Source organism: Homo sapiens, chromosome 5 (assembly GCF_000001405.40).
Source record: "Homo sapiens chromosome 5, GRCh38.p14 Primary Assembly".
Classification (NCBI taxonomy): domain Eukaryota; kingdom Metazoa; phylum Chordata; class Mammalia; order Primates; family Hominidae; genus Homo; species Homo sapiens.
Window position 1 is genome coordinate 35675764 of NC_000005.10, and position 16025 is coordinate 35691788.

A 16025-nucleotide genomic window follows, 5' to 3' on the forward strand; every position below is an offset into this window, starting at 1 on the left:
TCTAACTTAACAGAGCAGAACATCAATGTATTAGTTTTCAAAGAGGGCTCTATTTGCCCTAGGTCCGTGGTTACCAAGAAACAAGGCTATTTTCTAATTGTTGTAGGCCAAGGATTTCAGAGGGCTTGATAGGGGTCTGGGACTTGTGTCTATGGAATAGCAGGAATAGAAGATGAACTTGGGTCATGTGAAGGGTATTTGGCTTCAAATTATTAACACTGGAGACAAGGTAAGTTCATTTGAAAACCATGGTAGAAATTGTTGAATTAAGGTATCAAGTTCAAGACGTTAGACCAGAATTGAGAAATGGTTTCCAAAAAGTTGGCAGCCAGATAGAAGTGGAATGGGATGTGAGAAGGACAAAGCCAAAGAGAGGAGTCCTGGATGCCTGACATGAATAAGATCAGAGTGATTGTCCACCACTCATTTTTATTTGTTCTTGATCACATAGAGAGAAGCCAGCCCTCTTCCAAGCTCCCTCCTCTGTGAGACCAGGGAAAGAGATGGTGGTCAGGGCTTTTCTGGGCTTTCTACTACTGAGTTTTGGGTTTGTTCTCTACCTACTTTGGCAACTACAGGAGCCAGCTTCTATGCATCAAGCCCACTTTCCATTCAATCAATTCCTCGGAATTACCAGCTAGGATTTTAGAGTTGGCTATAAAGTTTTAAATTTTAAAACTATAGGCTGTTTGCGGGGGCTCACACCTGTAATCCCAGCACTTTGGGAGGCCAAGGCAGGCAGATCACTTGAGGTCAGGAGTTCGAGACCAGCCTGGCCAACATGGTGAAACCCCGTCTCTCCTAAAAATACAAAAATTAGCTAGGCATTTTGGCGGGCACCTGTAATTCCAGCTACTTGGGAGGCTAAGGCACAAGAATCCCTTGAACCCGGGAGTCAGAGGTTTCAGTGAGCCAAGATCGTGCCACTGCACTCCAGCCTGGGTGACAGAGTGAGACTCTGACTCAAAAGAAAAAAAAAATGTTTTAAAGCTATGTCTTAACAGATAAATATAGGAAGAACACAATGGGGTTTGTGATCTTGAAAACTTGAATGGATCCAAGAAAGTGTTTAAATTTTAATTTGGCTCAGATATGTAGGACTGAGAACCATAAACTCTCCCACCTAAAAGACACCCCCCACACCACCACCCCTGTCCGGTGTCAGGACTTAGCCATATTATTTGGTACAGTGGGCCTATAGTAGTCTTTGACACATTGATCAATGTCACCTCTAAGCTTTTTGGGGGTGGCTTATACCTCTTTGAGGTATCAATCTTAGCAGTGAAATAAAGAGGGTGGCAGTAGTCATTATAGAAGAGGGTATTCCGTGTGGAAAAATACTGTGTGAATTTTGCAGTTACAAGGTAGGCAGAACAAGTCATAATGCCTATGTATTTTGTGACACCAGAGAAATTCCAACCAAAAGTGTCTTTCTTACTATCCCTGGCTAGGTAATAGCAGTAGACAGGTGAATTCAGATGTAGATACTTCTGGAAACATTCCTTTAAATAGTAAGACCATGGAAATTACTATAAAAGTGATCCTGAGGTAGGCTACCACCTCACTGATAAATAAAGCATAGTTTAAGCAGTTGGGGAATGACATTTACTGTTTTGATAAGGATAGCCACCACCATCAGAATTGTTTGGTGGCCCCAGAACAGGGAGAAATCTGATATGAAGTCCAGGGTGATTCAGTCTCAAGGGCACTTGGGGAGCAATGCAGTGACCTTAGAGTCTTATTTTTTGTTTCTTTGTTTGACCCAGGCAGTTGTGCTTTGAAAAGCACTGGGCTGCTGTAATTCTCAGTGTGCCACATTCAATGCCTTGGAAGGGCCATGGTGGCTTTCCAGGGATAGAGAATGGAACAAGGAGTAGGAACCTATCATTTTGGGGTGACTGAACTACTTTTCCACTGATCTCCTGAGTCACTTCGAGCACAGCTGGAAATCAGAGTGCTAATCAGAAGCCCCTACCTATTGTCTGCATCTGATTGGTCACGGAATTTCAGCAGCACTGAAATGTAACTATTTAAGGGAGAGGATCTCCCAGAATGGCTTAGTGTCAGTTACCCATGGTAATCAGACCTGCAGTCAGCCCAGTGATTCTGGCTGCCTGATATATTAGTAATTTGTAGCTCAGCGTTTCTGAAAAATAAACCTGTCACTGCTGAGCTTTCTGAACTTCTGAATATGTGACAAGCTGGAGTGATTGGATTGCATTGTGAGGTGCCAGGCTCTCTCCAGCGTGGGCCTACAGGCCTTGACAGTGACCATTGTCACACGCTGAGTATTGACCGTGGCCAGTGTAAATTTCCTTCCAAAAACAAGCATAAGGTAGATGCAGTCTACTGCCCTGGGTCTTCTTTTGCAATAGGCTAAAATTAAACATGCCTGTTTTCGTACCATTAGATTAGGGCAGACTGAGGAAGGCTACTCCTGGAACAGAAGTGATCAGATTACTGAGTGAAAGACATTATTGAATCAGGTCAAATTCATTAGATTTCCTGATGATCCAGAATTAACCATGATATAGTTCCATAGGCAAGGCATTGGCCACCCACAATCTGCTTCTAACCAGAACACTCTTCAGCTCAGCATGGGGGTCCACATGGCAGATGAAGTTGAGCTAACCTCTGCCTTTCCCTCGATTGCTCAGACTCTGCATTTCCTGGCAAGAGATGTGACCTTCTCTCTAGAGGTGTACCCACCCTGCAAATGTCAGTGAAAAACAGACACCCCTGCCCACTGGCTCCTCTGGAATCTGAAGGCCAGAGTGTCTGGTAGAAAGATGTGTCCGGGTAGCTAACCATACGCTGACCTGACTGGAGGTCAAGTGACTTAACAAGGCTTCCAGGCTCATGCAACAGGATCAATTCATCTTCCAAAGTTGTTCTGAGGCCTTCTTGAAACTGGGCCCCAACGCAGAGCCCATTCCGTGACAGCTCCTGGATGAGAAGACAGAATTCAGCTGCACTTCAGCTAATCATCCTCTCTTCTCTTTGCCTTTTTGTCTAAGGCAGTATGTGGCAGCATCAATCTTTTCCACTGTCACCTGGCTATCAAACAGGTCCCATACAGTGTTCAAGAAACCCTGTGGGGCTGCCAGATTACACAGCTGAACTCCCCTTAGGGAAGATAAATAACCACACTTTCTGCCTCTTCTAAGAAACCTGGGAAGTTATTACAAATGTTTAAATCTGAATAAAATTTAGGCAGTTCTTCCAGACTTCGTCAGGGTTTGGGGGTAGTTGGAGGACAGAAAGCCCTGGAAGAGATGACAACAGAGGCTCTAAAAGTTAAAGTGTTACCTTACTACTTTCCCATGGAGTATGGCTTCATTCTGAGTGCCATATTACCCAGGAACAGTAACTGGAATATAGCCACTAGACTTTTCATTCTACCCTAGCAATAGGTATACTTCTGTAGTATTTTATTCCCTCTGGTAGGAGACCAGGACAGACCCAGCCGGAAGGTCAGCCAGGAGATACAGTGCCAGGGGTTTAATTCTTAGAACTGGAACCAAGACAGTCAAGATAATTTCCCTGATGTGGCCAGAAACAGGAAGAGACAGAGGCGGGATCAAGCCAAGTCCTTTGAGCATGCCAATGATCAAAACTGAGATTGGGTGAGGACCAGACTAGAAAATGAAAACAAAGCTGGCAGGTTGGAAGGTAGGCAGAACTGCAACAGAACAGGACACACATTAAAGGCTTGGAAGCAAAGTGAGGAGGCTCTGGGCAATAGAGGCCACAAACAGAGCTAGAACATCTGCAGCTTGTTTTTCTCATCTGCCAGTCATGTGGAACACAGCTGGCTCATACTAGTCTAGGACACCCAAGGCAAATACCCAGTTAGGAATATGAAATTAACCAGGTCACAAACAGCTTCTGCTGTAGAGCAGATTGTACGTACCCATTGACATGGGCTGCTCTTCCCCACTCCAGGACTCAGCCCAGGTGCTTGGATTTTTAGGACCTGCCATCTCCTGACTGTTTTAAACCTGACTTATTTCCTGCCTAGTTTTCTGGCATCTTTCAGGCTACTTATTTGAATTTCTGACCAGCTCTAATCTATTGCTACCCATGTTCAAGTGTGACAGATCTCTTCCCAAACATGATTCACTTGGAAAAACTATTTACAACCATAGGATTTTTGGTAATGTGAATATAGTCAATGTTCTCAAGGGATTTATTTTTCCCTAAATGATGTTACCCATTTGTTTTAGGTGATTTGGGGATATTTCTATTTAAAAAATTAAGACATATCCTCCATCTTTCCTCTGAGATAAAACATCAGAAAATTGAAATACTTTAATTTGTTTTTATACCTAAAAATGGCATTACAACATCTCTTTCCTCCCTGTTAAGTCTCTGGCATAGTTTGTTAGAAAGACCCAAATTAATAAACTGTTTTTCATATATTACATCTTAAATGAAATGCTTTTTGCTGACAACAAAAAAGAAATGCCTTAATTTAACAGAGATGCACACTTTAAATCATACGATAGGTTGTTACTTCGGGAGATACTTCCTGTATTAGCTAATTTCATTCATGGTATGTGGATTTTTGCTAGCTTCTGTCTATGAGGATTATGCTTTCTGATCTTGTCCCTAATTTTGGGTTATCCCTATCTTGTTTGGGGGCCTAAGTCATCTTTGTACTTAGTTAAAATTACTAAATTTGAATTTCAATTTAGTCACTCATTTATTCCGTTCACATATATTGAGCCTATAGTATTGATTGATTGACTGATTCAATAAATAGATATTTATCGAGTGCCTACTTCTACCAGCACTATTCTAGGTGTTAAATAAGACAGAGATCCTTCCCTCCCACTGTTCACAGTTTAGTAGGGATGAGAAAAAAACCATTCCAGAGAATGATGCTGTGTGGATACGAATAGGAGGTTATAGGACACATTGGAAGGGATGAAATTCAGTTGATTTGTGAAGTATGAGTAGACATCAGTTGATTTAAAGGTATTAATGCAAAACGGACCTAACCCTATGAGCTGTGAGTTTAGACTCTTCTATCTTTGTATTTTCTCCATGGCTTCATTAAATTTCAAGCCTGTAGACCAAACTAAGCTTAGGAAGTGTGTTTGGGTGTCTGGAGTCACTTCCAGCATCCAGACTTTTTCAATAACCTCTGAAGATATCAATCTTGGTTATTTCTAATAATCTTCCAATGGAAACATGTAGACAGTGCAACAACTTAAAATGCTATAAATGGGCAATCGGCTTGTCCCTGGTTAAGACATCATTTTCTGCCCACGGTGTTTGGGCTTGAGTTAATAAATTACCTAACCTCTCACTAACTAATACTTTTTCTTTGGATACAATTTAACTATTAATTTATTTTCCAATAAGCCTAAAGTTTTCTTGCATTTTGAATAATAATAATGTACCTGTTGATAAGAGGTTTTAGAGATTCACATTATAAAAAAATTTAAGAACAGCAATTGTACAAAATACAGTTTTCCAAAGTGCTAGAAAATAAGTAACTGATAACTAAGATCTAATAATACAAATAAGATCTAGCATATGAGTGAACTGGCCTTTAATTATAACCAATTATGAGAAATTATACTGAGAACTGTATTACTTTAAAAATATACTTTGACTCTCTAACTCTCTGAGTTGAGTGACTGTTAGTATAAAATTAAGAATTACTCTCCCTATTTGAAGATATCTAAAAAATAAACCCAAGATGGTAATTATAGACATGAGATTAGAACTGAGAGTTCCTGGTATCTTGTCCAATGAAATATCTTTTATTATTTGTTGTCCCAAAAGAGGTTGAAACCAGATTGTGAAATTAATTTAGGTCACAACCAGTATTTATTTTAAAAAAGGACAAAATAAATATAATAAAACACAATACAGTAGGAAATAAAGCATATCACAAGTAGTGATGATAAGGATTTCATAAATTTTTTTTGTGCATTTTATATCTACCTGTACAGAAATGCTAGGTCACAATGTAGAATGCATTTTTTTGTTTGTTTTATGGGGAGACCTAGTCAAAAATGTTTGAAAGCCACTATCTTAGAAGATGTAGTCCAAGTGGTAATTGTGCTCCAAGAGAAGCCAGAGAGCTTTAGGAGTGCTTTACAGGGGTTCAGACCAATAAAAATGGACACATCTGGTGAAAAGGACTTCCTGGACGTCTTGAATAGCTAAAGAAAGGTCCATCATGATGAACATAAATTCAAATTTCCCTGAAAATTGAGGATTGTTAATGGCTACAACTACTTCTGAGGCTGCTAGTACAAGTCTTAACTTTAAGTATTACAAAGTGCTGTGCCAAGGGAAAGTGGTGTGCCAAGGGAAAAGCCAGCCAAGCACACCTGCAGAGTGGTAGGCCAAGGGAAAGCTAGCCATAGATCAAGGCAGCTTGAATGTCTTGCCATGGTAGAGTTACAGTACATTGGCTGCCCTCTAAAAGGGCTATAGCCTCATTTTATGGGGTCACTACATATGGAATGTCTTGAAGTCAGTTTGTTAGAAGCTTCTGCCCTAAGTCCTTTGGCCACTACAGCAAGATAATCTGTCTGTTGTTGGGTCTTATCAAATATAGGTTTAAAAAAAGATTGCATTTCAGGAAACCCAAGGAAACTAACAGGTATCAAAAACAGTGTAAGTGTTGTATCCCCTTAGAAGGTCCTTTCTGTCTCTTAGAGGAAAAGGCACTTGCCTTGTCTTTCTAAATGTATCAGTAATTTAATTCTGAAATATTTAGAACATACCAAATTGGGAACATCTGGGACATATCAGGCCATGCAGATGTTGGGAAGTTCTAGTGATCCATGAAGACAAACACTGGATTATATGTACCTTCAGACTAGTACCACTCCTCTAAAAAAGCCACCTTTGAATGTCTCTGCTAAGTATTATTGGTGTAACTCTATTATTTGTTTGTTGAATTTTGTGCTAGGTGCTCTGAGATTTTATGCACTGACAAATATTTCCAAAGGCCCAGATTCTGTTTATTCAAATTGATCTAAGTAAGCCAGCTCTCCCCACTTTTTGAAAGGGTGAATGAGGAAGCTCCATTCCCAACTTGGATGTTTAGAAGTGGCAAGAATGAGAATGAGATGCATGTGGTTTTTACAGGGGTAATCGGCAGCATCATTCAATCACTTGGGCAACGTTACAATCAAGAAGGGAATCCAGTGGACACACGGGAGCTTAAGCTTGCCCTTGAAGTGTGCAACTCAACCCACATTCAAGCATGTTTGCTTCCAAGCAGATTCTGTTTGTAAATACTTGTGATTCTATTAGCCATGATTCATAACAAGGAGACCAAGAATACTGACACATTAGGCCACAAAAAACTAAAAAGATATGAGAGACTGGAAGTAACCAGAATCAGAACTCCAGGTCACCATTAGGCTCCTACAACAGGATATAGAGAGGCATGTGAGTGCTTTGGATCCAGGCTAGACAGCAGAGTGGTAGGCCCACGTGATCTGTAAAGATGGGATCCATAAAAATGGTGGATACTATGGTTCCAGGAATTCAGAATTCAAGTGCTGGAAAGGTCAGTGTAGGTCAATTAATAAAAACAGTGCTAGTGGGCCGGGTGCTGTGGCTCATGCCAGTAATCCCAGCACTTTGGGAGGCTGAGGTGGGTGGATCGTTTGAGTTCAGGAGTTCGAGACCAGCCTGACCAACATGGTGAAACCCTGTCTCTACTAAAAATCCAAAAATTAGCTAGGCGTAGTGACACCTGCCTGTAATCCCTGCTACTTGGGAGGGTGAGGCAGGATAATTGCTTGAACTCGAGAGATGGAGGCTACAGTTAGCCAAGATCGCGCTACTGCACTCCAGCCTGGGTGACAGAGTGAGACTTCGTCTCAAAACAAACAAACAAGCAAAAACCAGTGCTAGTGAACAGGTTGTGACTTTTGACCACGGGCAGAGTCTATTTCCTCTCTGTTGTAATTTTATGATCTCTGTGTGTAAGCAGACAAAAATTCACAGGGAGAGTCAGACCTCCTAGGTGTTGATGGATCCTGAATCTTATACTTACACCTTCTCAAAAATACATACTGATAGTATTTATGCAGGTACAATTAAAATATTACTAAAATCAAGACAGCTTAATAATTATTTCCTGCATGTTCATGACAGTTTACATAAATCAAGGACTAGTACATCAACACAGAAAGAGTATCTCGTTAAAGCAATTGTTTATACCATGTGATATTTACCTGGTTTTGCCCACTCTGAGCGTCAGAGTCTGGGCCTAATAGTCAGATGTCTATTTACAATACCTGAAAGAGTAAATAATATATGTTTTATTATATAAATAATTTAATCATATCTACATAGATAATAAATATGTAAAGTAGAGATCTGATAAAAATTTCTGATTCGTCATTACTAGTGAACTAGTAAAGCTCTTTAGCTCATTGTAGTTAAACTAATAACCATCATTCTAGTCTGAATTTCTTCTTTCTCCAGTTCTTCTGATCTCTTTTCACTCGTCATGTTCTGATTTCATCCCCTTTGAGATGCTTACCTTGACTCAGCCTTTATTTTTGGTCTTTGCTAGGAACTTCATAGGCTTTATTTTGACAGTGATTCTGCTCAGTGTGTTCCACCAAATCCTTTATCTGCTTATCTCACAGGTCAGGCTTCAGTTCTTCTAACCTAAGCATTCTGTTCTCTTCACAGTGACATCCTATTCCATTGTGTTTGGCCACATTCTACAGCTAGTGATGGAAGAGGTCTATTCGGATTTTTTGTGAGGAAGCAGGCCTTTCAGATTGGAGTGCAGCTGGATGTGGCGCTCTTACATGCCTCCAGCAGCTGCCTGAGAACTCCTAAACTGTTTATAGTCAGAGGTTACATAGGCTCCTCACACAAGCATTATTTCACTTAATCTTTACAACAATCTGGTGAAATACATATTGTTATTATGCTGCAAAGATGAATTAATGAGGGTGCAAAGCAAGCAAGTAGCAGAAGCCTTATATAATAGAAACTCAAGTCATCTGATTTAAGCCTAAGACTGTTGCCTTTAAAAAGGGTTAAGTGACTGCACAGCTCAAAATCATTACAATATTGACAACTTTCCACTTCAAATTGGCCTTGGAATTATCACCTTTTTTATTGTAAAATTACATAATTTCTACAGCTTCTGTTTTCTTATTTGGTTAGTTTCTAATTGGCCACATTACATAAAATAATCACCATTTGTCTAATTCGAAGTATAAATAATTCCAATGAATGAAAGCAGAAGCAAGTAATCAACTATAGTGCAACCAATAATTTTGCAGATCCAATTAGTATTTGGCTAATTTTGAACAGTGCAGATTATTATTATGTACAGAGCTCCTAGAAAAAACAAAGGCAGTAAACTAAAAATACTTTTTATAAATACAGGGTAGTATGTATAGAAGTGGCAGTCAAATAGGATTATATTTATATACTAAATACACTAAAATTTATGTATAACTACATTACACCAATTTTAAAGAAAAACTTACTATGAGTACTTTGGGGTTTTAAAAATTTGTTTCAAAAAGTATTTTCTTATCTGCAGTGTTCTCATATCAGAAATTCTGGCACCAAACCAGACAAGCCATTCATAGCACTTACCAAAGTTGACAACTTATATTCTGAGTAAGTGTGTTTTGTCAGATAATGGGTATGAAAAGAATACTGATGAAAGAAAAGCAAGAACACAGGGATATACTTATTTATATATGACATAGCGTAATTATAGAAATATTGTCAAAAGTGGCCTAAACAAACTTTTCTTACTTCAAGTTATTTAAATAAATAACTCCACTTGTAGACTTAATCTGTTACTAAGGGCCACTTTGTCATATTAATCAAGAGTTAAGAATTAAAAATATAATATGGGCATTTATTTATAAGCCAAAAATGTGACTTGCTCATTTCTTAATGATAGTGTAGTAATATTTATAAATCACACATCATCTATTTGACTGAAATGAAAAAAATGTCTTTCAAATTAGTGGTCAAATTTGGCCAATAATTTTTAAACTAGGAAAGAGTTCCCCTCCAGAAAATGGTTAGGAAATGAGCTAAATCATACACAAGAAAAAGACACATACCTTCCTCAAAAAAAAAAAAAAAATCTAACTGACTTAAGGCAATCCAGACTAGCAGAAGTTGGCTGGTGTTTCTTAAAGAAATATAATGAAATATAATGTACCCTGTCTTTTGTTTTGGTTCTCTCTTTGGATTTCACAAGCACCTATTTTGATGAGGGAGTTCCTTTATCTCCCCAAATGGGCATTGCTTATGTTTCTCTATCCCTGATCTTTGGACTGAAAAGACTTACATTAAGATGATTAGGGGCAGTGACATAATACAAGTGCTAATAGAATTGATCATCTGAGATACAATTTTGAGGAGACTTATGTGATTAACAAAATACTAATGTATCTTGAAATTTCTAATTTTCAGTATTCCACTATGATTTGACATCTCTGCACCGCTGAAACAATATTTTGGGGTTTTTGAAGTTTGAATAGTTTAATAAATAGGTTATATGTACTAATTCCAAATAATCTTAAAATATAAATTACATGTATTTCTATTCTTTGTCTTTGATAGAGTGCAAATGGAATAATATCTAGGTAATGAAATTATTACATAATCATGTTACTAAATACATTTTATGTGCACTGAAGATAATTTTTAAAGATCCTCAAGTGACTACAGAAAAATACCATTTTACCTATATGTGTATGTAAATAAAAAATCTTAATTCTTATCTGATTTGTATGTCTTAATTACTTTTATTGTTATGACAGAACTATTACAGCAATTTTGGACACTTTAGAAAACACAATAAATCAATATACTAATTTACCCTCTCAATAGTGGTGAATGAGAAGTATGACTCAATCTTTTGGTTTTAGGCAAAATATGGTACATCATTGCTTTATCTGGATATCTTTTATTACTATGAATTTGAACATTTCTTTATAAACTCATTGGCCATTTTGTTCTACTGTCAAAATTGCCCATTTATAGCCTTTCCACCATTTTTCTGTTATTTTTATTTTTCTGATTACATATTTTATGCACTAAAATCCTTAACCTTTCATCAAATATATATGTATATACACATATATATATTGCAGATATTTTGCTTTTGTTTTTTGTTTTTGAAGTGTGTGAGTGAATTATGTGTGTTTGTGTGTGTGTGCTTGAGGATGTGCAGAAGATTTTATTTTTATAGAGTATAATCAAACTACCAACTTTTTCCTTTGTGGTTTTCAGCTTTGGTGTTATGCTTGGAAAAACAATTGTGGAGCATATAAGTGTTCACCCAAATTTTGATGCTGTTAGATTTCTTGTTTATGTCGTTCATTCTTCTGGTGTCAATTTATTTTTATGAAAGTATAAGGATATCTAACATTATTTTTTCCAAATATATAACTAGTTTTTCAAATACCAGTTGTAAAATAATCTTTCTCTGCTAATGTGAAATATAAACCTTATTACATACGAAACTTTTACATATAATTAGATCTGTTTCTGGAATCTATATTTTTGCACAGTGAATATTCTGTCCCTGCAACTCATTCTTTTCATTACCATATTTTTAAAAAGTGCTTTCGTAACTTACAAGGCAACACTCCCATTACTTTCCTTTTAAAGTATTTTTAATGGATTTTTTTTTTTTGCCCATTATATTTCTTCTTGCACTTTAACATTTTTTTTGAGATGGAGTCTAGCTCTGTCGCCCAGGCTGGAGTGCAGTGGCACAAATTTTTGGATTTTTAGTAGAGACAGGGTTTCACCATGTTGGTCAGGCTGGTTTCGAACTCCTGACCTCGTGATCTGCCCACCTCGGTCTCCCAAAGTGCTTGGATTACAGGCGTGAGCCACCGCACCAGGCCCACTTTAACTTTCAAATCATTTGTCATATCAACCTTTGAGCGATAACTAGGGGAAATGACACTAGCACTTTTGTTGTCATTAAACATTAAGTTAGATTAATTTGGAGGAGAATTAAATGGTTTATAATTTTGAACCTTTTTATCTCACCCTCTATTCAAGTCATTTTTCTTAATAGTCAAATTTTGAAGCTTTCTATATACAGAATCTATACATTTTTTGTTAATTCCGTTGATTTTGTCAGCTTTTGCAAGCAAAAAAAATTGCAAGCAAAAAATTTTTGCAAGCAAAAAAATTTGCAAGCAAAAAATTTGCAGGCAAAAAAATGGACTCTTGTTGAATAAGCAGGAAAAGAAAATACTCAAAATATGGTGGGTGGTTCAAAGAATCCATAGGTGAGCTCAAGAAGTAGGCTCAAGGTTAAACTTCCAAAGAAAATCACCGGAACCATCATAGCAAAGTCTGACAAGAAAATTGTCACTGCCACCACCACCCCAGAGCACTAGCAGCAGTTCAGGTTATAGCTGCCACCTCTGCACCAGGAACTCTGCTCTTCAGCAGCCACTATTACTTCTAGAGACAGTGCTGCTTCTTTCTTTTTCTTATTTTGTTGCACGGACTAGAACTTCCCAAATAATGTGACTAATAGTACTCATGATGAGCAACTTTTTCTTGTTCTTGCCTTTAATGGAAAAATGTGTAGTTTATTTTGATTTACCATTGATCCAGAGAGTGTTAGGAAAGTTATCTTCAATTCATAATTTACTAAGATATTGTTTTATTTTGTTTATTTTTCTTGTATTTTTCAAATCAGAAATAAATGTTGAGTTTTATCAGCTGTTTCACTGTCAAAATGATCATATGCTTTTTTTTATTTTAACCTATTAATGCATATAGTACATAGGCTTTCTAGTATTTAGCCTTCCTTGGATTCATGAAATAATTCTTATTCAGTCATGGTGGGATAAAGTCAACATCATATACTGGATATGAGTACCTGTTCTGGGATCTGACTGCCCGGGTTCCAATCTAGGTTTTACCATTACTCTTTATTATGACCCTGGGAAAATAACTTAGTCGTTGCAATACTCAGATTTTTCTTCTATGAATCAGGAAGATAATAATACTTGTGTAAGAGTTGTGTGAGAATCGTTTGAGATAACGCATGAAAACAACAGTATATGCTACATAGTATGCAGTCAATGTCAATTAGTATCTTCATTGTCTGTTAATATTATGTTGATTTTAGTATTGTATACATGATTTGTGCCAAATATTTCCAAATGAGATTGGCTTGTAGTTTTCTTTTGGGATGTTGTTTTTGTCAATTATCTTTGATATATTTTCTGTATAAGGGTTATATTAGTCTTGCCAAATAAACAGGAAAGCTTTCTATCTTCTTCTGTACTCTAGAAGACTTTTAAACATTTACATTTCTGTTCAGTTAAGGAAAGAAAATTTTTCTGTAAACCATTAGTGTCTTCAATTTTAATAAGTATAGTTCTATGACATCTTTTTCATTTCTTTCATGGCTTTTATCTTTTCAAAGATTTTATTTCATTTTATTCATTTGCACTATCTTAGAATATCATTTATTACCATACAGTTATAAATCCAAATTTATTATACTATAGTTGTACCTAACATTTTCTTTTTCTTCCCGCTTCCTGCTTTTATTAAAATTATACCATGCAATATACTTCTGTAACATTTGTTACAGATAGTTACAGAGGTGTATTGCACAAATATTATGGAAGTATATTGCATGATGCTATGTTTGGGGTATGACTGAACCTGTCCCCAGCTAGTGAGCAAAGTTCCCAATAGGTAGCTTTTTAGCCCTTGCACTCTCCCCATCTCCTCCCTCTAGTAGTCCCCAGTGTTCATTGTTCTCATCGTTATGTCCATGTATACTCAATGTTTAGCTCTCACTTGTAAGTGAGAATGCAGCATTGATTTTCTGCTTCTGCATTAGTTTGCTTAAGATAATGGCCTCCAGCTGCACCCATATTGCTGCTAAGGACAAGATATCATTATTTTTTATGGCTGTGCACTATTCCATGGTATACATGTACCACATTTTCTTTATCCATTCCACCCTTCATGGGCACTTGGGTTGATTCCATGTTTTTGTTATTGTGAATAGTACTATGATGAACAGAGGGTACATTTGTCTGCTGTTACCTTTTTTCCTATTATGTTACAACATTGATACTTACTATTCTTCTCTTTTGTGACAAAGTAGTAGAAATTTCATTATCCATTATTAATAAGGATAGGTTTTAGAATTTTATCAATAAAGAGTATCTGGATAGTTTTACTCTGTAATTTATTAATTTCCATTTTTATTTTTACAAGTTTCTTCTTCCTAGTTTGATTACTTTAAAATTACTTTTGTTCCCTATTTTAATGGCTACTTTGTTTATTTTCCTTCTTTTTTATTTTATTTTTTATTGATACATAATAAACACATGTATTGATGCATTTATAAAATATGTAATAATCAAATCAGGGTAATTGGGATATCTGTGATATTAAACATTTATCTTTTCTTTATGCTAGGAACATTTGAATTGTTCTCTACTAGCTATTTTGAAATATTCAGTAGCTTATTATTTGCTCTGGTCACTCTACTGATTTATTGAACATTGCACCTCGATCAAGGCATTTTAGGCTAAGGGGCATTTTCCTATGTGTACAGTTTGATCTGACCCCATATTTTTAATAAATCTGTTGTTTTAATGTTCCTTTTAGACTTTATAATCTCAATTTACTCTTTCATACAAGAATTATTTTTAAAGAATGCTTTTCCTTTTAAATACTTATTTTTTTCTATATTTCTAAAATCAACTTCTAATTATATTACATGGAAGTCAGAGAATGTGATCCATATAGTGTTTTTTCCCTCCATCTGATCATTTGATCATTTCATCAAGAAGCCTGAATAAAGCGGGAGTTAAACACGGTAGACTTAGAGATGTTGAGCATGAAAATTCTCTTTTATTACTTTAAAATATTATAAAATAAATTTAATACTTGCATAAGATAGCAGAGAAATGATTACTGTCTTTTATCTGCTTACTGGTGATAACATCAATTTAAATGTCTTAATGTTCAACCTAGATTACAAAATGCCTCAATTTATATGCTCACTTTCATAAGCTAAGATTTTTTAGTTTTTTTCTTTGCTTTTATGTAGAAAGCATTTTTCTGCCCTGTAATATGAAACTATTATTAATGTTATTACTCTTTTTATAATATAATTAAAGTATTCATTGGCTTTTGTTGGCTATAATTTGGATTTACTTTTAACATTTAAATATTTCATATACCTAAATTCCACTTTTCAGAATATTTCTGTTTATTTGATCGTTATTTTTACAGAACATGGTTGGAGAGTGGGCCTTACCAGAAGAAATGGTTGACAATTTACCACCCTCCAACAATTGCATACTGGGCCATATTCTTCACAGGCTAGCTGAAAAATCTCTTCCTCCTCGAGCGGAATCAACAACACCTGAATTACCTTCATTTGCTGTTAAAGGATGCTTATTGGGGAAAACATTAAGTGGAAAAACTACCATTTTAAGGTCTCTACAAAAAGGTAGAATTTCTTCTCCTACTCTCCCTGCCATTAGGTCCTATTTACACTGACTGTAGCTGCAAATGTCTATGTGTATAAAAAACATACAAGAAGCACTGCTGATATGTTGGGAAATCTCTGTCATCAAAAGTTTTGTAATTTTCCAGGCTACGATTATTCAGCCATAAAAATGAGTGAAATATTGATACATGCTACAACATGGATGATCCTTCACAACATTATGCTAAGTGAAAAAAGCCAGACACAAAAGGTCACATAGTGTATGAGCCCATTTGTATGAAATATCCAAAATAGGCAAATCCATAGAGAAAGAAGTGGAATTATTGGATGCCAGAGTCAGGGGTAGGGGAATGAGGAGTGACAGCAGTTGATTTAGGATTTCCTTTTAGGGTGATTAAAAATTTCAGGAACAAAATAATGGTGATGGTTGCACACATTGTGAATGTCTAAATGCTACTGAAATGTATCCTTTAAATGGTGGAAGTGCTTAACTTTATGTTTTATGAATTTTATCACAATTTTTATCTTTGTT

At 36.4% G+C, this 16025-nt stretch overlaps 1 protein-coding gene and 1 long non-coding RNA gene across 21 annotated transcripts in view; one reads left to right on the top strand and one right to left on the bottom strand.

Annotated features, from left to right (window-relative positions):
* The window catches only part of SPEF2 (sperm flagellar 2), a 196749-nt gene that overhangs the window by 57901 nt on the left and 122823 nt on the right, over nucleotides 1–16025 (top strand). For all 20 annotated transcript variants that reach the window (XR_925655.3, XM_011514136.4, NM_024867.4 and 17 more), the window contains one exon: nucleotides 15274–15493. Coding sequence is in view for 19 of the 20 variants with exons in the window: in XM_011514136.4 (XP_011512438.1) it covers nucleotides 15274–15493 (220 nt within the window). In the remaining variant the exon portion in view is untranslated. The remainder of the gene's footprint in view (nucleotides 1–15273; nucleotides 15494–16025) is intronic.
* On the bottom strand, nucleotides 932–8723 carry LOC105374724 (uncharacterized). The gene is made up of 3 exons (XR_925919.3): nucleotides 8528–8723; nucleotides 8217–8279; nucleotides 932–2946 (listed from the first exon to the last, which is right to left on the bottom strand). It is a non-coding gene; the product is annotated as an uncharacterized LOC105374724 (long non-coding RNA).